At 33.4% G+C, this 24,603-nt stretch overlaps 1 protein-coding gene across 34 annotated transcripts in view; it reads right to left on the bottom strand.

Annotated features, from left to right (window-relative positions):
• Positions 1 to 24,603, bottom strand: part of DLG2 (discs large MAGUK scaffold protein 2) — a 2,173,362-nt gene that overhangs the window by 983,653 nt on the left and 1,165,106 nt on the right. The window lies entirely within an intron of this gene.

Below are 24,603 nucleotides of genomic sequence, written 5' to 3' on the forward strand. Positions count from 1 at the left end.
CACCTTTAAGATAAGGTCAATGCTAAGAGACAACTGTTTCTTCCAATGAGAGATAAGGTTTTAGCCCTTTGCCAGTCCTACCAGAGGACAAAAATAAACTGCTCATGATGGCAAGGAAAGCCTGCCTTCCAGTGGCACACAAACTAGACTCAATATAGTAAATGTTTTCCAGCTGATCTGACAGAAGTGCCCTATGAGCAATGAAGAATCAAAGAATGTCAACACACTTGCAGACACTTGGAAAAGAACTTCCTTCTCTTAACAAAGTCACTTGAGGTCTATCCCTTAAGAGAGTTTCATCTGTGGAATCAACAACAACAACAACAACAAAAGTATATTGTAAAGGATGTTGAATACCCTCATAGGCAATTGGAGGTAGAACAAGACAGTGTAAGACAGGACATTGGTAGTCAGAACCCATGTTCATGTTACTCACACTAAGGTAACTCCTGTGCCTAGAACAGTGCTTAGCACAACACATTTAATCTACGTTTATTCAAGGAATGAATGATCTTGTTTCTGACCCTGACTTTGCTTCTAATTTATTTATTTGTTTTCTCTGGGTTCGATGTGCCTCATCTGTAAATTAAGAGAATTGGGCAGATATTTTTAAAGTTCCTTTCCTGCCCTATGAGTCTATGATCATTATTGTGGGTCTTCAAATGATATTGAACAGAAATCTCGAGTGCTCACCGGATACATAGGCTGTGGTGAAATGATTCAGTGTCCCAAAAAGTCAACAGTGGTACCCCTGGGGTAGCCCAGCTTCTTCTACCTCCTTTGACATGCCTTGCTGCCAACCAGGGTTTGGTTTTTCCATTAGCTATTTCTTTTGCTCTATGCTCCTACAAGCACTCCTTTCCTTTAATTTCCTTTTGACACTCTAAGGCAACCCCTGTGCAAATTTATCCATATTATACCCTGTACTCTCTGGAGGAAAAGTGCCACAGAAATCCAACGAATAAATATACATGGTAACTCCTGCTTAGTTTTCAAAGAGCTACTCAGCAGGACCGTAGCTTACTCTAATATTGCTGTGATGTAAAGGTATTTATTATTTCTGCACACAAGTTGTTCCAAGCCATGTTGTAGTTAAAAGTGTATTCAACTAAAAGACTAAAGTAGATAAAAAGAACGGGGATAAACAATCATCCCTAAGTTAATGATTAGAAAATTTTGTTTTTAACACCTTAGACAGAATCAGACAATAAAGAGGTGAGACAAAATGCCTTGAACTTTCAAACCACTGATATCATAGAGAGAATCAAAGGATGTTAATTTACTCTGATGGGACTGACATTATAATTTTTTATATCTTTCTATAATTTTTGCATTCTCTTCATGAGTTAAAACTTCATGGATCACTAAAACTAAGGCTTGGAGAGATCTTTGATGTTTGATCAATTTGTTTACTGGTTTTGCCTTTATGTTGAACCTTTAGTGACCTTTTTTACACACCTGACCAAGAGGCTTTATAAATTTTTTTATAGTACAAGATCCTTATAAAATAAATTGGCCCTGCCAGCTAAGATTTAACTTATGACAGTAATAACTATTGTTTCTTAAATAGGCAGTTGGAGGTAGAAAACACAGTGCAGTTAGGACTCGTGTTCATGTTATGCAAATGCTCAGTAAACAGTAGATACTCAAAATATATTTGTCAAATGCATCTATGACAAAATAGAAAAATCCACAAACTGAGAAAGACCAGAAGACTCAATAGAAGAATGGCCATAAAATTCTCAGTAGCAAAAGTTGCTTGAAAGATGGATATAATGTCAACTGAATGAAGTCATTGCCATATTTATACAACCATCTTCCCTGGCTCTCTGTGGGCAGATGTGTCTGCTGTAAAGGTGGCAGCTTCCTACAGTTAATCCTACTAGTCTCTAACCATTGCTCTGCTGATTGAGATAAATAACATTTGCAGCTCTGCTGTATAAGTAAAACAAATTTTTCAGACATTTTCCATCTGTATATAATCAGTACCTGGACAGACCTTTTCCTTTATAATTTTATTTTTAAAGCCTCTCCTATGACGGAAACCTACCAGTGCAGCTGAGTTTGAGATGCAACAGTAATCCATTTAAGCAGCTTTGGGTTCATGCCTCAACACACACACTATGTGAGCCTCCTCTGAATTCTCAAGGTAAATACAATGTTTAAATCAAGCCATTAACTATCATACATTTTCTGCCTAGCACATGAATGATTTTTGTTTAAAAATAATCTATTTATATCAGAGATAATTATTTTTAAAAACAGAGCCAAAATTCAATCCAAGGAATTAATATCTGGTGGCCTGAAAAGCTATGTAATTTCAGTGTTGAATATAGACCAAACAAAATAACTATTGAGACATAAGTAAGTTAATGTAAAAAATTAATTGTACAAAGATTTTGATTGGTTTGTTTGCATATTTGATATGTATATTTGATAGTCCTTTGGCTAATGTCTGATGTTAGTAAATTATTATTATTATTATTATTATTACTATTTTGAGACAAGACCTTGTTCTGTCACCCAGGATGGAGTGCAGTGTTACGATCATAGCTCACTGCAGCCTTGAACTCCTGGGCTCAAGTAATCTTCCTCCCTCAGCCTCCAGGGTAGGTAGGACAGTAGGCACATACCATCATGCTTGGCTAATTTTTAAATTTTTTCTCTTTCTAGAGATGAGGTCTTGCTATATTGCCCAGGCTGGTCTTGAACTCCTGGCCTCAAGTGATCCTCGTACCTTGGGTTCTCCAAGCGATTAGCTGATTATTAAACAAAAGGGTGGAATATATAGTACGTAGAATATTTTGGTAAAGAATATGTACATAATATTTAACTTCAATTCAGAGGAATGCCAAGATCTTGATATTAGTTACTTCTATACAAACTAGTAGAAAGGGGAAGATTAAAACAGTTATATTTTGCTCTAAGTATATATGTATCATGTGACTCATCTACATAACATATTCTCATTAGTACTTGTGTGACTGAAAATGTAAACAATGCTTTTCCACAAAAATGTATTGAGTATTACTACATGTCAAACCTTAAGGGCCTATAAATGAATAAAGTACAATCTTTTTCTCAAAGAGCCCTATATAGCTGGGGACACATATCTATGAATAAATAAATCTCAGGTGTAAGAAAGGGGTCCAGTTTCAGTTTTCTGTATATGGCTAGCCAGTTTTCCCAACACCATTTATTAAATAGGGGATCCTTTCCCCATTGCTTGTTTTTGTCAGGTTTGTCAAAGATCAGAAGGTTGTAGATGTGTGGTGTTATTTCTGAGGCCTGTGTTCTGTCCCATTGGTCTATATATCTGTTTTGGTACCAGTACCATGCTGTTTTGGTTACTGTAGTCTTATAGTATAGTTTGAAATCAGGTAATGTGATGCCTCCAGCTTTGTTCTTTTTGGCTGGGATTTTCTCGGCTATACAGGCTCTTTTTTCATTCTATATGAAATTTAAAGTAGTTTTTTTCTGATTCTGTGAAGAAAGTCAATGATAGCTTGATGGGGATAGCATTGAATCTATAAATTACTTTGGGCAGTATGGCCATTTTCACGATATTGATTCTTCCTGTCCATGACCATGGAATGTTTTTCCATTTGTTTGTGTTCTCTTATTTCCTTGAGCAGTGGTTTGTTTTTCTCCTTGAAGGGGTCCTTTATACACCATAGAATACTATACATCCATAAAAAGGATGAATTCATGCAGGGACATGGATGAAGGTGGAAACCATCATTCTTAGCAAAGTAACACAGGAACAGAAAACCAAATACCACATGTTCTCACTCATAAGTGGGAGTTGAACAATGAGAACACATGGACCCAGGGAGGGGAACATCACACACTGAGGCCTGTCAGTGGGTGCGGGAGGCTAGGGGAGGGATAGCATTAGGAAAAATACCTAATGTAGATGACAAGTTGATGGGTGCAGCAAACCACCACGGCACATGTATACCTATCTAACAAACTTGCACACCTATCTAACAAACTTGCACATTCTGCACATGTATCCCAGAACTTAAGTATAATTAAAAAAAAAGAAAGAAAGAAAGAAAGAAAGAAAGAAATTTCAGTGAAGAATGGCCTTGTTACAAATGTATGATGCTCAGGGATAAAATTACTGATTTTCGGTATTTATATGATATAAACTCACTAATAAATATTAGCTGGAAAAAGTGCAATAATTAGTGCTAATGTATATTAAAAAGCAAAGCAAAGGAATAGCTACATGTCTTTGCATGTTTTATCACTATGGACAATAGGAAAAAATTGTCACTATGAATTTATATGTATATCACAGTCAATGCTACAAACTGGCCCGGCTGCAGATGGATATATTTCTGCACCGAAGAAATACCCAGTTATAGATAAGTGTGAAAAAAAGATTCCAAATAATAAACCCACTAACTCTAATTATAAATGAACAAAGCCTATATCTTTTTCTCCTCTTAAAATCATCAAAACTCATTCTTCAACAGTTGAATGTATAATGTGCCTCTTCTTTCATATGTTTAATCATAACATACTTGGCATCAGAAATGTAAAGAACCTAATGTAACATTTACCTTCCATCCAGATTTAATAAATGTTAATATTTTGTCATATTTGATTCAGATTAATTTTTTAAGAAATAAGTTCTTCATAATATAGGTAAAATCTCCACCCTACCTCCTCAAATTCATTTCAAAATAATTTTCAATAAACACTCTTGTAGCTCTCTCTTTAAGTACATACAAGTTTCTTTAGAGCAGGTCCTTCAAAATGTAATTGGTGGATCACAGAATATGTCCAGCTTTAATGCTATTCATTACAAATTGTTCTCCAGTTGCCATTATTAGTAATTTAAATGAGTAGTATATATTAGTAGTTTATAAGAGATCAGTATTCTATATAACACAGTGTAATCAGACATTCATGTTTCCGAAACATAATATATAATGTTAACTCTTTGTAGTCTTGATATGCATTTTCTTGATTACTGGTGAGACTTAAGATGTTTTCATACATTTATTGGTTATTTGAACTTCCTTCTGTTCATACCCCTTGCCCATTTTTAAATAGGGTTATATTTTTCTTATTGACTTGTGAAGTACTTGATGTATACTGAACACTAATCTTTTATTATGGGTTTTGAAAATATCTGTTTCCAATCTCTGACTTGTCTTAGTTTTATTCATGTTTTGTCATACAGAGCCTTCATAAAAATTAAAAGGACTGAAGTTTTTCAGTGTTTTATGTTTACATTTTTATCATTTTTTTCTCTCTTCTAAGTTTATAAATATTTTATTTTCTTTCTAAGCAATTTAAATGTTTTGCTTTTCATCAATAAGTCTCCAAAGTTTTTTTTTTTTTTAATTTACAGTGAAAGGAACAAGATCTTGTCCTTTTCAGGGACATGAATGGAGCTGAAAGCCTTTATCATCAGCCAATTAATGCAGGAACAGAAAACCCAACACTGCATGTTCTCACTTATAAGTGGGAGCTGAATGATGAGAACACATGGACACATGGTTGGGGCAGGGTAAACAACATACACTGGGGCCTATCGGGTGTGGGCAGGGAAAGGGGGAGCATCAGGAAGAACAGCTCATTGGTGCTGGGCTTATATCTAGGTGATGGGTTGGTGATCTGCGCAGCAAAACACCATGGCTCATGTTTCCCTATGTAACAAACCTGCACATCCTGCACATGTACCCAATAACTTAAAAGGTGATAAAATAAAATATTAAAATAACAATTAAAAATAGTAATTTATGGTGGAAGGTAGGAATCTATATTTTTCCCATATGTATGGCCAGTTTTATTTATTTATTTACTTATTTATTTACTTGCTTACTTCATTAGCTGATATATAATAATGCTTTTCCTTTTCCTTACTGATTTCTAATGTCCCTGAGTTATATATCTAGATAATATGTATGTGCATATAATTGTTTCCTGGCTTTTTAACAATTATCCTATTTTTATTTACCTGTGCCAGTACTACATTATGTATGCTTTATAGTAAATACTGTTACTTGAAGGGTGATTCATCCTTTTCACTTGATCTAACTTTTCAAGTTAATTTTCATAAATTTGTACAATAGAGCACTTTTATAGTATCTGCAAAATGTCATGTTATTATTGTATACTTTTTTTTTTTTTTTTCTTTGAGACAGAGTTTCACTCTTGTCGTCCAGATTGGAATGCAATGGCAATCTCGGCTCACTGCAACCTCCGCTTCCCAGGTTGAAGCGATTCTCCTGCCTCCGCCTCCCGAATAGCTGGGATTACAGGCACGTGCCACCACGCCGAGCTAATTTTTGTATTTTTAGTAGAGACAGGGTTCCATTATGTTGGCCAGGCTGATCTCAAACTCCTGACCTCAGGCAGACCAGGTAATCCGCCTGCCTCGGCTTCCCAAAGTACTGGGATTACAGGCGTGAGCCACTGCACTTAGCCTATTGTACGCTATTTTAATTTTATCTTGCTATAGTAGTTACATTCCCCACCAAATCAGTCATTATTATTATCACCATTATCATTTTTTGTTATAGTTTACTCACAATAACTATCAGTTAACTTCTTTATTTTTAGAATCCTAACCCCTCTTTCTGGATTAAATTTTCTTCTTACAGATAAATACATTTTAATAGTCTTTCTGCAAAAATCAATGATGTTTAAACATACCCAATCATTTATATTTTCCCTGAACTGAATGATAGTAGACTAGACTTTGAATGAGAGTATAGAAACAGATTTGTAAATCGACAATGATTTTCCCTCAGAGCTTTGAAGATATTAACCTGCTGCCTATTTGCTGCCTGTTACAAGAAATATGTCTTTCTTAATATGGTTTGCATAAATACTTTTTTTTGCCTTTCTTGAACTTCGGTTTTACTATAATATTTTCTTTTTTAAAAAATGTACATGGAACTCATTCTGTTTCTTTAATCTGATTATTTATAAAATAAGTCTCAGTCATGGCCGGGCGCGGTGGCTCACGCCTGTAATCCCAGCACTTTGGGAGGCCGAGGCGGGTGGATCACTAGCTCAGGAGATCGAGACCATCCTGGCTAACATGGTGAAACCCCGTCTCTACTAAAAATACAAAAAATTAGCCGGGTGTGGTAGCGGGCGCCTGTAGTCCCAGCTGCTCGGGAGGCTGAGGCAGGAGAATGGCGTGAACCCGGGAGGCGGAGCTTGCAGTGAGCCGAGATGGTGTCACTGCACTCCAGGCTGGGCGACAGAGTGAGACTTCGCCTCAAAAAAAAAAAAAAAAAAAAAAAATACGTCTCAGTCATTAACTCTTCAAATATTTATTTTCCCTCACTCTCATTATTCTCTTAAATTCTGTTATGTTTTTTCTGGACCATTTTATTCTACCCGTACTATTGCTTCATAGAGCTCATATTTTTTTCTCCTTCCTCCTCTGTGCTGCTTTCAGGGTATATCCTCAGATCTAATTACTATTTTCTAATTTCTATTTTTACCTTAAATTTCAATTTATTGTTTTTTACCTACCTACAGAGTATCCATTTTTAATCAATTGTTTATACCATTTTTATTTTTAGACATTCTATATATATTTTTAAATCTATCATGTTCTGTTTTTATTATGATTTTTCTTCCTTTATCATGATTTTAATTTAACACATACTTAGTTTGTAGTCTTTATCTGATATTTTTATTCCCTAATTTTCCTGAACGTCTAATCTCACTGGTTTCACTCATGGTGAGTATTTTCTGCATCGTATTGTACATTTTTATTCTGAGATTATCTTTAGAAAGATTATAGTTTCTGTGGGAGTCCCTGCGACCTTCAGTTGTGCAACTGTTGCTACAGAATAATTTTGCACATCCCTCTTCTAGTTGTCCAGAGATTTCACTAGCCCAAGAGCAGTTTCATATCAATTTTTTTTTTTTTTGACTTGGAGCTATACTCTCCCCACAAAATAGGGTTGGGTTTAAATTTACTCTTTTTTTTTCTTTTTCCACTCCTAATAGAAACATGCATCCTTGTTGCTACCCTGGGCTGGTGAATAAAGTTTTTAAAAAGTCCTTTCACAAATGAGAATCCTTTTATGTTTTCAGTTTTATGCAACAGTCTCAGTTTCATTTCCCTTCCTTTGGTGATCCTAACGTCAAGTGTCCTGCCCTGAATGTCCATCAAAACCCTACACTCTCACCCTAAATGCCTTTATTGAGTCCCATACACCCCTGGGATACCATAGTCAGTTCAGGATCTCACTGCTGTGGCCATCATTATACACAAACACAAACAAGTCCACGTGGCATCCCTCTAAATTAACCCAAAATCAAACTAGATCATTTAACTAGCCTGCAAATGAGGCTTTAGAGTTTAATAAGTATGTGTGGTAACAACATGTATAAGATTTATTGTTAAGTGTTTCCTGCAAGAGATTTGGGGAAATCAACTAATTAAAATGTTAGTCAAAAGTCACCATATTATAATAGTTAATTAGCTAAACTACGCTGTAAGACAGACCACCACCATCATTATTGTGACCTTGGAAAAGTTATGCTAACTTTATAAAATGGGGGTAATAACGGAAACTATGTAACAGTATTGATAATAGGAGCAAATGAGATAATACATATACACTATTTGGAGTAGTTCTGGCACATAGCCTGAGTGCAATAAAAATACTGCTTTTATTTTTATTCATATTCCAATCTTTAAGGAAGACAAAATCACAATAGTCTAGACAGACAGTACATGCTCAATATTATGAAAAGAAGCCGAAAAGAATGATTTCTAAAAGCTCTTTATAATTCTGTTTAATCATCCTGTGAGGAAAGTCTACCTTCTTTCTGCTTCAGTGTTTTCTCCCCTTTTATGCCATTAGCAAAGAAAACAAATCAGTTGCAAACTTGTAAAAATATTTCATAAATTTAAAGTCTTCCAGGTTCCCATGTGTCTCTTTTCTGAGACAAATAAATATCTTCTTGAGCCTTATGAGTAGTTTTTTCTTTCTTTTTCTTTTCTAAGTTTTATTTATTTATTTATTTATTTAGAGAATCTTTCCAGAGCCTCAAAAGAAGGCTTGCAGGACCTCTTGTAAGAACAAAAACTCAAATGGGTCCTAAACTTATATAGTAGATCTGAATTAATATGCTGTGATTTACCACCCATGTGTTCATGTGTTCAAAATTAAATTTTCTTACAGCAGAAAAATAGACTGATAATGGCAGTAACTATCAAAAGGAACGTAGAGCTGGGAAGACATAGCTCCTCACGAGCAATGTAGAAAAATATCAAGCCAGCAGTCAAGAAGGAATATCTAATGGAACATTAGAACTTTGACTTGTGAGCACAAACAACAATGCATAAATAAGGCCATTTTTTTGAAACAGCTACACAGTGCTAAAGATGCCTAATTTAATAATTTAGTAACTGAGAATGCAATTCAATATCTTTAAATTCACATGCTCTTCCAAAGCATGCAAAAAACACAGACATTTAAACACCACTCACCTAACCTGACTGCTTTGGAATGGGAACTTTCTTTTAAGTAAAATTCAGTTAGCCTGGTATTCTAGCTATCTCAACAACAGAATTATTTTCATAATTCATGGAGGTGAAGTGCTAGTTTTGGAAGCAATAGTCTTAGTTTTAATTTCATTTCCATCAGTTGTCACATCTCTGGGTATTGAACTACATAATCAATTCCTTATGAGCTCAAATAATGTATTAGTCCATGACATTTATGAGCAATAATTAATGAGTAATACAATAATCTCTTAAATCCGGTGGCCATTTTTGATGAAGTTGTATTTTTGCCATACCATCCCTTTGGATCTTCACAAAATTATTTTCTGTTTCCCCAATGTGCTCTATAAATTTGTACCTTTGAACATGCTGTTTCTGCTGTCTGCAGCCCTATCCACCTTACTTTCTGCTCCTTGTCATTTTATATGTGACAAATCTTGACAAATTTTCTGAGATGTGGCTAAATAAATGTCTATGAAAATTTTTCCAGATAACCACCAGACAGAGCCAGTAACTCTCTTCTATGTCCCTTATTGTACTTTGTACATAACTCAGATTTAGTTCTTATTATATTTACTTGTAATTACTTTGAGCTTATGTTTCCCTCCGAACGCCTATGAAACACTCAAGAAAAGTAACATACCTTATTTATTTTCGTATCCTCGGAGACCTACATAGTCCTCCACACGTGGTAGGTAATAATAACTATCTTTTGAATAATTTAATAGTTGTTTGCTTAATGAATGAACAAATGAATGAAGCATATCACTTGAATACAACAGCTTCACACTCCTATGAGAAGAAAGGAAGGCACTATACAGAGACCTATCTAGCATTTGTTATTACCCTCTATTTGCATTTTTACCTTATACTCATCTTCATACCATAAGAGACAAGTCATTGTAACAAGTGTTCAAAGTGCTTCAGAAAACACCATTTCTAAAGGTAAATCACTGACACTTATTGATACATGGACCTATAAGCTGTCACATTTTTTTTACTTTGTAATTCCTACTCTTTCACAGTAACAAGTGATCTTTTGCAAAATACAATAAATAAAACCAATTTATACAGTAATAAATAAAATCCCTTTTTATTTCCTTAAAAATGAGATCCACTAATGAAAACATACAAATCATTTCATTTTCCATCCTGCCACCTACATAAAACAGAAAGAGCAGCTGCTGAAATCTTCAATGCCAATATCAATTACAGATAGTGTTGCTGAAAATATTCCTGATATTAACTGCAACCTCTCTCCAGCTTAAAAAATATACAAAGTTTTAAAAAAGGTGTAATAGCATCATCTTGTTATATACTTCATGGCTAACTAGATAGAAAAGGGGAGACTGAATTGTTAGTTGTATTCTATATGTCAGCTATTTTTATGTTAAGCATCTTTATATGAAGTTAAAAGTGCCTTGACTTTAAGATGCACAAAGTATTTTGTCCACTAAAGTACTTAACATGCATTTCCTTAGTATTGGTCTAACATCAGCCATTTTTAAAATGTTTACATACTATCTTTATTGTTGTTTACTTATGTTATTTTAAAATTTAATTTGACTCACTTTTTATTTAAATAAATTTATTTTAAAAGGGAACTTATTGCCATCCGAATAAACACAAGGGTTTGTTTTCATAAATAAATAACCATATAAATAACACAATAAAAATAAAATACTAATCACATTAAGAAGTAAAATAAAAACAAGTAATTTTAAAGTCTAATTGAAAAGATGATGGTTGATACTGAAGTTACAATTTTTAAGTAATTACATTAAAATTAAAGTATAAGTATGTTTTTAAAGATGTTTTCCATCTACCATCTTATGTATATCATACTTCAAGAAATACTCTCAACTAATTTAATCCTCACAAAAAATACCTGAGTCAGATAATATCAAATTCCTTTCACAAATTTAGGAAACTAAATTTCAGAGGAATTGATTAACTTATTCAAGGTCATTTGCCTAGAGGAATTAAGCTTTGAATCCTGGTTTGCTTCTCACTTGCTTCCAGATTTTCAAACCCTGTCTGACTCTCAACATCCTTATCTTTAAGCCATGGCGTAACAGTACAAGAAATGTCATGTGGTAGCTTATGACAAAAAAAATAAATAAAAGCAGCAAGTTCTATGAGTTCAGAGAACATTAGCCCATGAGTTGGATTGGTGAAGACAGGCTTACTGTGAGAAAGAAAATTTGATTTAGTACTTAGAAAACAGATCAGAACAAGAAGTACTTTTTTTTTTTTTTTTCCAGAAGAAACAGCAGGAGCAAAAGCAAGAAGGTTGGAAAACATGAGATGTGTTTGAGGAGAAAAATAAGGCAGAAAACACTGTACCCATAATTAGACAATGTCAATAAATGTTTAATCATGACAAACATGGTCAGATTTAGAGATCAGGGAGAATGATGAAGGTGGTAGAAATAATGGGGGCCTTAATTAGGGGGATGATGGTAGAAATAAAGGCAAAGACCAATAAAAGAAACATTATTTCTTAATGTCCTAGACTGAGTTCAAATCCCTGGCCCATTCTCTTAGTAAAATACACTCCTTTTCACAATGTTTATCATGTTGACAATAATCTATTTAATACATCTATTTTTCATGGTTTCCTTGTAGGGCATTCCATGAAAGCAGAGGCCATGCCTGTTTATTCATCATTGTAGCCTCCGTGCCTAACAACATGCCTGGTGCATAATAAGTGTTCCAAAAAAAAAAAAGAGTTATTTAATTCATGCTTGAAAGAAGAAATAACATAGGGAACAGAATGTGTATAACTGATCTGTAATCCAAACCTCAGCATCACGCAATATACCCATGTAACAAACCTGCACATGTACCCTTTAATCTAAATAAAATTTGAAATTATTTTTTAAAAATCTGTAAAATTTGACTGCTGCTTTATAGGCTGAGAAAAAAAAGTCAAGCAGCTAAAGAGTTGAGCCCAGGGGACTTCAAGTTATCTGTAAGACGAAGGAAAAATTTTCATTTGCATGGCCTCTTCTTTCATTATAAATGTTTGTATTTCTTCCCTTGTCTCTTCAATCCTTTTACCTTCTAATATTATAGGCTGCATCTAAACTTTCGTTAAATTAATGTCTTAGAAATTTAATTATCTCATTAAATTTCTCATGGTCCACAATTTCCATTTAAGGCTTCTATATTTTCTTTGTAAACTCTTCTAAAGCAGATAATTATTTTTTCTTGTTTTTGAAATGGAGAAGTGTTGTCAATTATTTTATTTTTTCTAATTCATTGTTTGCCCTTGGGAGCTTATGCTGTGCCTAGGGGGACATCCACATTCATGTAAAAAATGAAAGCGTTCATGATATGCTAAGTTTTAGATATATTCAGATTTTAATGCCCCTGGAAAACTCGGGAGTATATATGTCTAATAAGCAATGTGATAAAGTAATCCCTCCTCCACTTATTTATTTATTCAACAAATCCTAATTTGAATGTTACGATGCACCAACCTGTTTATAAGCAATGGGGTCGTAACAATGAACAAAACAGACAACAATCCCTACCTCATGGAGCTTACATTGTATTGCAGAAAAGAGATAGTACAAAAGATAAATAGAAAAATGTAGTCTCTTCAATAGTGATACAAGCTAAAGAGAAAAATAAAGCAGATAAATGGAATAAAAGGTGTTGGGAATGGTTAAATTTTTCTGATAAGTTGATTAAGGTAAAGCTCAGTAAGATTAAGGAAGTGACAGCAAGCCAGGAAGATATCTGGGGAAAGAGTATGTGAAGGCCTTAAGAAGGGACTGTTTGAACTCACAGATCTATCACATTCTAGATATGGTTTTTTGAAAAAGTAGATGAATCTAGATGAATGAATAGAGGTATATTCATGTGAAATATGGTGAATGGTCATTTTCATCTTCAAGTAAAATTGTAATTGTTCCTGTATTAAATAAACTGAAAGGTTAACAAAAAAAAAAAGAAGGAAGAAGGAGGAGGAGGAGATGAGGAAGAGGAGGAGGAGAAAAGGAAGAGGAAGAGGAGGAGGAGGACGACGATGAAGACTAGGGCTACCATTTGACAACAGTAAGGAGAACAGCATGGCTAAAACAGAATGAGGAGGAAAATGGTACAAAATAAGATTGGAGAGCTAGACAGGTAGGTGAAGGAAGAAGTGTGGAAAGCAGATCTTGTAAGCCTCATAAGCTACTGTGGGCAATCTGGCTTTTGCTATGAATGAGACAGGAAGCAATCTAAGAGCAATACCATGATATGACTAATGTTTTAATAGGATTACTCCTGCTGTCTTAAAAATTTTGACTCTAGGGGATCAAGGCTTGGAGCAGGGAGAACAGTTAAGAATTATTACAGTTATCAAATTCAAAAGGAATAGTAACTTGGAAAAACTAATTAATATGAAAATTTTTAAAAAGTGGTTGGGTTCTGGACATAGTTTGAAGGTAGATCCAACAGATTGTATGCTACACTGAATGTAGCCTGTGAGAAAAAGAGGAGTGGCACAGATGACTCCAAACATTTTGACCTGATAAACCAGAAAGGTCATCTCATCACCAGCTCAAAGGAAAGCTGTGGATGGAGCAGGTTTTGTAAGAAACATAAGAAGTTAGGTTCTGACAACCTGGTATGGTGGTGTGCACCTGTAATTCCAGCTACTCAGGTTGGGGCATGAGCTCAGGAGTTTGAGTTCAGCCTCTACAATGTAGCAAGACCCCATCTCCAAATAAATAAATAAAAGTTTAAAAAAGAATTACAAATGGATCGTATACTCAGAAAAATATATTTAAAAAATACAGAAAAGATAAATATTTAAGATTATAGGTATTCCAATCACCCTGATTTGATTATATGAACGTATCAGATTATCACACGTACCCCAAAAATATGTATATCTACTATGTATAAATTTTCAAAAAAAAATAAATTTAAAAAAAGAAGTTAGGTTCTGGACATGTTAACTTGGAGATATCTTTTAGACATCTGACTGAAGACATCAAGTAAGCCACTGGATATATAAGTCCAGAGTTTGAGGAAGATATCAAAATAGAAATGGTATGTAAAGCCTTGATCACTGGCTGAAGTAGAGAAAAAGCTTAAAGATCAAGTCCTTGAGCATTTCATTGTTTACAATTATCTATTTAATACATGATTTTCTTACTGAACTGTAAATCCTATGAAATCAATATACTGAAAGAGGGATAAGAAAGTTGAGGTTCTATGTAATGGAACTGGTTATAAAGAATTTTCCTAGAGTTTAAGCTTGGTAGAAAAGGTAGTAAGGCTAGAAGAGAAATGGGAACCAGATAAAAGATGATAGGATCAATAATTATAAGACCAGGTAAGGCCCAAAAGTTTGTTGGAGTTAAGGTTCCAACAAGTATTTCAGGTTTATATTGTAGATATTTTGCTTCGTGTGGTTAAGATGACTACCAAATCTAACATTTATCAAGTTTTAAAATATGAATCAAGTACTTAACTACTTATCTTATTTAATTTTCAAAGAATTCAGTGTGGTAACTCCTATTTTTGTTCCCATTTTACACGTAAGTAAACTAAAAGAAATGAAGTACCTTGTTGGGGGTTGACACTCAACCAACAATGGCACATTCCGCATGCAAGCCAAAATCTAACTCAGAATCTCTGCTCTTAACCACAAGTAGGGGCAGAATGCCTATCATATGGTCTCTGTTTTCCTTGGAGGAGGGTCTGTAGCCTCTGTGAACCTGTTAGCTATGTTGAGGATCAGAAGCCGTTCTTCTTATTTTCTGTACTCATTTCCTTTGTTGTTTTCTTTGGTATTTGGTGCAGTCTTTGCAAAATTCTATTCTGCCACAGAGGAGTTGAAGAAAGTCAAATAAAGGCTTTATTCATGACAGGCTAGATCATATAAGGAGATAGTTCTACCTGAGGTTGCCTCAGGGAAAAAATAATTCAGGAGGACTGAGTTAGGGTACTTTTATCCAGTGTCCCATCTGCACAGTCTCATAAAAAGATGACTAAAGAAGATAATTAGCCAATTAGCAGTATGAATTGAAAAGCTGAATCTCCAGAGGAAGATGATAAGGTACAAAGGAAGGAGGAAGAAGAAGGCAAAAATTTAGGAGCTATTCTCATGGAAGGAATGACTGTCCTCTGAGAAGAAATAGATATATTCTTACTACCCATGGAACTCAGGAAATTGTCTAGCCTCTGATACTTTCAAAAATGTAAATGTAGAATAGAACAATCGCTTTGGGAATGTTAAATACTGCAACCACTTCAGAAATGTTTGGGAGTTTCTGAAAAAGCTAAACATATGCCTAAAATATGAGCCAGCAAGTCCACTCCAAAGCATTTAAGCAAGAGAAATAAAAGCATATGTTCATTCAAAATTATACCCAAATTTTATAATAGCTGTATTTTCAATATCCCAAAACTGGAATAAAAAACCAATGTTCCTTAAGAGGGAATAAATATATTGTATTGTATTTATAAAATGAAATACTGCTCAGCAATAAAAAGAACCATATTATTTACATGAGCAAAAGCATGGACAAATCTCCAAATAATCCAGCTGAGAAAATAAGCCAAATAAAAAAGCACATTTTGCATGATTCCATTTATATAAAGTACTGGAAGATGCAAACAAATTTATAGTGACAGAAAGCTTATAAGTGGTTGATCAATGATAGGATGAGAGAAGGAAGGCTTTACACAAGAGCAAAAGGGAACTTTAGGGGATGATGGATGTATTCATTCTCTTGTTTGTGGTGATGATTTTACAGGTGTAGATATATGTCAAGATCTATCAGATTGCACTTGAAATATGTGCAATTTTATGCCAATTATTCTTCAATAAGGACACTTAGCATCTAAAACTTGAAAACGTTTTGCTTTCTTAAAAAGGTGGAATAAAAAATGACTTCATAATAAAGAAATATAAAATAATAAAGAAAACAGGGGGAAACTAAAATAATTTGTCAAACATTTCTATTTCCTTTTTTATTCTATTTCAGCCTAACTTCTGTTCTTCTATTCCTCACCTACAGCAATTTTCCTAATGAAATTTCACACCTGTCCATTTCTGACACCATTTAACGTTTAGTAATAATGCAAGTGTTAACAATGTATTTTGGGTATATGTTTCTGTGTGGCCTGCATTGCAAGTAGATTCATAAAGAATTTCAGAAATCCCAATTCTATTTTTCTTTTCCATTTTATTCAGTTTGGTTTTGGTGTAGAAAAAGACTTAAGCAGTGTACCTAATTTTAATTTCCAAAATTGATTTTCTACTCTATTTTCTGCTGCTTGCTTAGGAAACAAAATTTACCAAGTCTATCTCCTAAATGATTAACCTCAGCAACCTTTGGCAAGCAAACTATTCTAAGAGACCCTGGGACTGTGTTATGCTCCCTCTCTTTGCCCAAATGCATTTTTAAAAAAAGTTAGAAATCAAAGGAAAAATGTGGAAGTGAAAAAGAAGCCAAGTGGTTAAAAAAAAATAGAAAGAAAGTATCACTAAGGATCATACATACAACACATACTAGACTTTTATTCTACTTTTCATTGGGCATTTAAAAAGGCATAGCCGCTATTTGAAAATATATTCAAGGGCTTAACAGCAAATCCAAATTAGGACTCCACATCCAGGAACATTTGGGAATTCAACTGTATCATCTAAGAAAGTCTTTTCTGATGGGGAAGGGCTGCTTCAGATTCAGGAATACAGGCCAAAAAGATCAATTTGTTTCCTGTCGGCACAGCTCAAATTGCATTCTTGACTTCACAGCACTGAGATCTTTCCAGCACATCCATTAAAGGAATTTGGCTCACATTAAGGTTGTGTGTAAGACCTAACATCCATGAAAATGAGCATAACCCTCATCAAGCAAGTATGGAACACTGGATTCTGAGCAGGAGGGCCTTCATGTCGCTTTGCATGAAAAGCCTGTTGACAATCTTATGGTGACTATATTCAGGCATTTTGATAAGGCAACTTACATTCCCTCAGCTCATTCACTGAAGCTGCATGGACCAAATTTTTAATAAATGTATTTAGAAGCATGGATAAGTAGTTACCCATGATATGAATCATGACAAGTAGCTATGCAAGGAAGTAATGCCTTAGAATCAGATACGTTTGGCCCAGACATATGGTGGAAGAATGCCCTAGTTTTCACCCTAAATAGACTTGTGTTTCTTTTTCTACAAATGTTCTAGGAGCCTATCTCATATAATTCCCATAATGATGATAAATAACATTAATTAATTATTTGATATGTGCAAGGCATTGTGCTAAGTGCTTTACAGGAAGTTCATACCTCATCACAACTTTGTGAAGTCATGAACTAACTTTATCCTTTTGCTACAGATCTCCTAACTGGTCACTGCTTTGGTCCTTGGGCTTTAAAAACACCACATACATTATCTTCTCAGGTCTCATTCTTTGCTCTAACCTATTCCTGAAATTCTCTTTCCCAAATATTCATATGGTCACTCCTTCAAGTCTTCACTAAAGTGACACATTTTCAATGAATCTGTTCCTTTGGATGTGCTCTTATTTTTAAACATTGCACTTATCAGCTTCTAACAGCGTATTTCACTTATTTATTTTGTTTCTTCTCTTCCCATCCTCACTAGAATGCAAGTTCTGTGAAGGGAGAAATTTTAGCCTTTTTTGCTCATTAGATAGAAGGATGCTTGATGTATTGTAGATGCTCATCAAATATTTGGAAGTGGTAAAAGGAAGTGATGTGGTTTTAAGTAACAACCACTTGTTATAAGTTAGTATTTAAAAAAAAGGTACAGCAACATTTTAAAATAAATTATTGTTTTTAGTTTAAGGTTAGCCAAGAGTTATGCTAATAAGCCATATTCAGACAATTTTATCCAAACTTACTTTGCAAAACAACAGGTTAAGCAATTTAACTAAGTGGGCAATAATTCTGAGTTTATTAACAGGTATTAGGTACAAAAACCATATGTGACCTCCTAAAGTTTCTAATCTTGTTGAGAACAGAAAACATAAAACCTGAAATAATTCAAAGACAATATATCAAATAGTTATCATTTATTCATTCATATAAAAAGTACTATCTCCATATGCAAGGAATTCTGGGCTAGATGCAGGAGGTGTAGAAATGAATAAGACATAGTTCCTGACTTCAGGGAGTTGACAGTCTGGTAAGAGATTGGATATACTACAAAATAAAACTTGTTTAGTGGAATAACAACTCGATAAATGGAATAAAATGTGCTAAAATTCAGTAAAAATACAAAATGTTTTGAGAATTCATAGAGGGAGAAATTACAAAGACAGTATATTACAAAGTGCTAAACTAAATATAATCAAATGCCAAACTGTATGGCAGAGACACTAAAATGCTATTGCCTGTTACTCCTGCAATTGAAATACACCAGGGATTTTAGTAAGCTTTCATGCAGAAAATAACATATGCCAAGACTCATATTTCTCTTATTTCCCTGTGAAAAGGCATTGAACATTAAACAGAGTGCGACCCTGAATGATGTTTCCAGCTGTTTCTGAGAGCAATTTCATAACCTCAGTTTTATTCTTCTCTCTCACGTTTTTTCAAACGAACTAAAGAGAAAGCCTATTGTTAATTTTCCAAAGTTATATTTATAATTAAATTCGTGCAAAATTGATTAAATACAACAAATCTCATAAATACCAATTTTTACATTGCATGTAAACTATTATCTTCTAAAAATGAAGCAATACATAGAATACATCTATATTTTAATATTTGTCTTATTTTTTCTAATTTTTTAACTGTTGCTGATTATTATAGAAAATCTGAACACATACAACATAAAAATAAAATTCATCTGCAAGCCTGTTATCTACGTAAATGATAGTAAATTGGTATATTGCTTTCTGTATACAGGTACAGATATAGACGCAGATGTAGATATAAATGTAGAGACTGGCATAGCTACTAATTATAATTTTCCTAATCTATTAGTGTAAGAAATTGTACACCATCTAATGTGCTTCAGAGCTATGATTTCCTGTGGCTGAATAATATTCCATCTCATGAATGTGTCAACTATTACAAACAATACTGTGATAAAATAAGTATACAAAATGCTGATTTGGTTTCCTGATTATTATTCCTGGAATAAGAATTAATGACTAAAATGGTAAAAATATTTTTGAGACTTCTGCTAAGTGTTGCCAAATTGCCTTCCAAAACATTAAAATGAAGTAAATCCTGTTCAGAAGTATCCAAGTGATCATCGTCCTCCAGTCTTGTCACCTGGAATATTGTCATATTCTTTTCCTAATCTTTGCCAAATTGATAGCTTAAAATCAGTACCCATTGGTATTTTATTTATATTATCTTAAATGCTGTTAGAATGTTATTAATTTATTTGAATTTGTTGTAATTTTTGTGAATTGTTTAGGATGTTGGTGATTTTTGAATTGATCTGTTAAGAGCTCTTTAGAGTTTAAATATAATAACTTTTTTTATTTGTGGCTTTTCTACTTTTTCTATTTTAAACATAGTATTTTGAAGTTCTTATGTAGTCAAATCTATTCATTCTTTGTGAATTCTTCTGTTGCATTTACGATTAGAATGTCCTTCAAAGCCAAGATCAGTTAAGTATGAAGTTTTCATGATTTTATTTTTACATTAGCCTATCAATATCTTTGTAATTAAGTTGGTATTTAATTATAAAAATTACTGGTAATATTTATTGAGTGAATACTTTGTCAAGCAGTACACGAAATTCTTTACATGAATTATCTCCTACTTAGTCCTCATAAACACCTTATGAGGTAATAACAATCCCCATTTTTCATGTGAAGAAACTAAAGTTCAGAGAGATAGAATTACATATCCAAGGTTATACACCTAGTAAATGATGGAGTCAGAGTTTGAACTCCAGCAGTCCCTAAGCCTGCACTCTTAACTACTCTTTTTTTTTGCTAATATGACATGGATCTAACAATTTTTCAGCACATTGTCAATTTTATGAACACTATGTTTTGAATAATCTATCAGTTTCCTCTTTGATTCGCATTTCTTCCTTCATCATATATGACATTACCATACATACTAAGCTCTATTCCACACGTAGCCATTCTATTGGTCTGTCAGCCAGTTCTTGCACCAGCAGTATACCATTTTAATTGTTGTATCTTTGTAATGTTAATTAATATATAATAGGACAAATAGCCCACTTACTGTTATACCTTTTGACAAATAATATCACTTCTCTATTTATTATCCCAAGTAAACATTATAATCCTTTCATTAGTTAAAATAATTTATTATTTGGCCATCAATAAATTGTATTAAGTATTAGAAATTTTTAGGTGTATGTACTTATGGGGTACATAATAGGTTGTTTCTGAAAAAATTAATACTAGAAAATTTAACTTTTTTTCAACTTTTATATTTTATATTCTGGAATATGGGCTGCCCCATAATTTTGCCATTAAGTTGAACGACATTTGACAAGAGTTGGTAAGATTTTGTAGTTTTATTCATCTATATCCTGCATAGCTATATTAGAGTTATTTCTAGGTAGGTTGTGTTTTCTGTTAGTGTTATAAATCTAATTTAAAATTATATTTTCCATTTTTTGAAGTAGTTAGAAGTATACATCTTTTAATACTTCTATTTGGCCCATATCTTGAGTTTTTGACAAAAATACAGCAATTTAACCTTCTCCCTGAGATGTACCTTATTCTATTTCATGTTATAATTAAGTTGTCAGAAATTTCAAATAATGTTAAAGCATAATAGGTATGACAACTGTCCTTACTTTTTCCAACTTCAATGGAGATTCTTTTAGTCTTTCAACAATAAGTATGACAGAGATTGTTAGCTTGGAGTAGCTTTTCTACACTATGTCAAATAGTGTCCTTCTATTTTAGGTTTTCTGAGAAATTTTGTCAGGAATGAGTTTTAAATTTTATCAAATAGGATTAATATGTTTTAGAATGATACTTTTTTATTTTTTTGATCTTCAGATTCTATGTTTTATGGTAATAGATTTCTAATTAAAACATCTTTGCCTTCCAGGGAGTAAACTCTATTTATTCTAATAGATGATTCATCAATTGACTATTGCGTTGTGTAGGATGCATTTTATTTAGGATCTATTCATCTTTATGAACGAGGGTAGGCCATAGAATTATTTTTGTTCTTATCATTTTTGACATCTGGGTAATATTACTTCATCAAGTGAAGTTAATATTGCTTCATCAAGCAAACAAATGAACAAAGAACCAATCATATTTGAAGGATGTTCTAGATACAGCATTCCAAGAATGAAGATCTAAAATTTGTACTATACACAGAGTTAGCTCAGGTATCACACATCTCTCTCATGTTCAAATTCACTTTCTTGGTGGTGCCCTGTTCTTAGCTTTTCTATTAGAAAAATTATCATTATAATCAGTTGATTAATACATCCATGAATTACAACCTTTTTAACACTATTACTTCAAACATTAATAAATGAATTTGGGTCAGTCAATTATTAAATATGAGTGCATGTGCATGCATGTGTGTGGTAATTTTATTTAAGTCTCAGAGTAGCCTAATTCACTTATTCAATAAATTTTATGAAGTATATATTATATGCTAACCATTTCTCTAGTGCTGATGAGGAATAAGACAGGTGAGGTTCTTGCCCTTGTGGAGCTCTTTCTTAGCCCATATAAATAAAAAATGTGAAGCTGATCAAGTAAAGCAGTTTGCCTAAATCCACATTCTAAGTGAATAAATTACTGCACTGAACTACCCTATAAGAGACTCATTGAAACATTTTTTAAGAAGCAGCTTTTGCATATGTGTAACATACTTTAATCAGTTCGACCTAAGGGCAGGAAAATACATGAAATGGCCCCTGAAAATTTCTTCAGCTATATTTCTGGTAGTTCACAAACTCTCTTAATTTAGTGAAACTGCATTAGGAAGACTATGAAAAAAATAAGAAAATTATAACAATATGAATTTTAATCCCTAAAGGTTAAGTAGGAGTTATTGCTATTACTTGTCAAGCTCACCTTCTTCCAAGCCTATACCATGTGCCACTATCTCATTTTAGCATTGTACAAACTTTTCAAGGAAGATGTTATCACTATTTTATACATAAGAAAATGGAGGCTTAGAATTTAAGATAAGATGGCCAATGAATGCCACACATGGAACAATTAACACAGAACACAAATCCAGGTTAGTCTGTTTCTATAGGTATTATTTTTGCCTCTCTGCTATGTCTTTTCTATATGCATGTCTTATGATTAGATTAGTTGTAAGAGTGTAGTGTGAAAAATATGTTCTTTTTAAAAATTTATTTTAAATTATGCTTTCCGATAATTTTAAATAAATGACCAGAAATAGGGAAAAGTTAATTAACCTGTCAATCAATCATGTATAGGCAGTAATACAAAAATGTTTTTAAAAATTGATATAAAATAATTGGATCAATATTTTCAGGACTTCATTGAAGACTTGATAAATGTTCAAGATAGGCTTTGGGTGAGAATTTAGAAGTAATATAAAGAGTGAAGAACACAAAATTAAAAGTTAACTGGCAGGGCTTCAGCACAACTGTATTGAATCAATGTATACTGAATTTTTTTTTTCAGAATGGAGAAAGGTGCCAGTTTATAGTTTTTTTCCTGTGGTAGATAGAGCAATTAGTTCTGGGAGGGCAGCAACTACATTTTATGTATTGTGTTTCTAACACCTGGCACAACACTTGCCACATAGTAGCCATTCAGTAAATGCCTGGATAAATGAATGGGTGAATGAGTCTCTGTAGTCCTAAAAAAAAATCAGTTCAGATGATAGGAAAAGACATCAGAAAGACAGGAGATCAAGATCCTTGGCGAAATGTCATCAACGTTAAGTAGATTCTTGACTTCTCTATGACTCACTTTTGTCATCTGTGAAATGAAAAGACTGAACTAAATGATCCCACGAGTCCTTATTAAGTATATAACTATTATAATTCTATAATTTATAATTAATAATTTCAGTTTCTTACTAAGCCTTCTTACCCATCAAAGAGGAAAAGGTCCCATTTATCAAAATGGTTCCCAAGCAGTCAGGGACTTTAACCACAAATTAAACAATTTACAATCTTCCTGGAAGTTCATGCAAGAGGTCCTATATCTCTTTTATCCTTAGACATTCTATTTGATGACTATATATACTAACATTTTTTTAAAAACCTTTTTTCCAACAACTACCTAATAATGCAAATAAACATATAAAATAACTGAAATTAATTGATAAACACAGTGACCACTGTGCTTTTAAGCATGTACATAAATCTAGTTTTCTTGGTAGAAGAAACATTGCCCAGCCTCTACTACTAAAATACTTGTCCAAAAACTAAGAAATGAACCTATGTTAAGAAACAAACCCTTCATGTTTCACAGGGCTGTAAAGTCACAATTTATCACATTTTCACACTCAGAGTAAAATATAAGTATTAAGAGGGATGCCAGTTTAGTTCCAAAGAAATGAAAAGACAATAGGAGTGGCTTATTACTCTCTCTGTTTTTTAATGGTGAACAGGAAATGACTACATCATCACTCACGAGGGTTGAAAATACAAAAATTCAATAACATGTCTAACTTCAGTTAGACTTCAGCTGAGCAAAACTATTAGTGGCCAACGTAACAACTGGTCCCAGTCTTTTAAGGAAAGGTTTCAGAACCTACAAAGAGTTTAATAGGCTACTACAGATATCACACACTGATCTTTTTGCAATGAAGAATGATTTTTGAGTTTTACCAAATTTTTAACAACGTAAGAGCTAGCTTTCGGAAGTGTCAAGTGCATAAATGGGAGTAGGTATTTATTATATAAAATCCAATTCTATTTGTTACAAGGCAGTCTTCAAAGAGATGCAATATTAGAGCAGAAAAGAAATCTCTGAGCCAGCACCTTTGACTTAGGGAAAAAAACAATCTGGATCTGAGAGAGGTTCAGCCCCTTGCTCAATGTCACGCCAAGGAGTAGAGCCAGTTCACAGAATTTGCTTTCCTACTTTCCAGTGCTTAATTCTTTTCTCTTACCAGGCAGTGTCTTTTCCTCAGACAGAGGCTTGTTTACTACAGTATTCCTCATGGGAT

The sequence above is a fragment of the Homo sapiens genome, chromosome 11 (genome assembly GCF_000001405.40).
Source record: "Homo sapiens chromosome 11, GRCh38.p14 Primary Assembly".
NCBI classification, from domain to species: domain Eukaryota; kingdom Metazoa; phylum Chordata; class Mammalia; order Primates; family Hominidae; genus Homo; species Homo sapiens.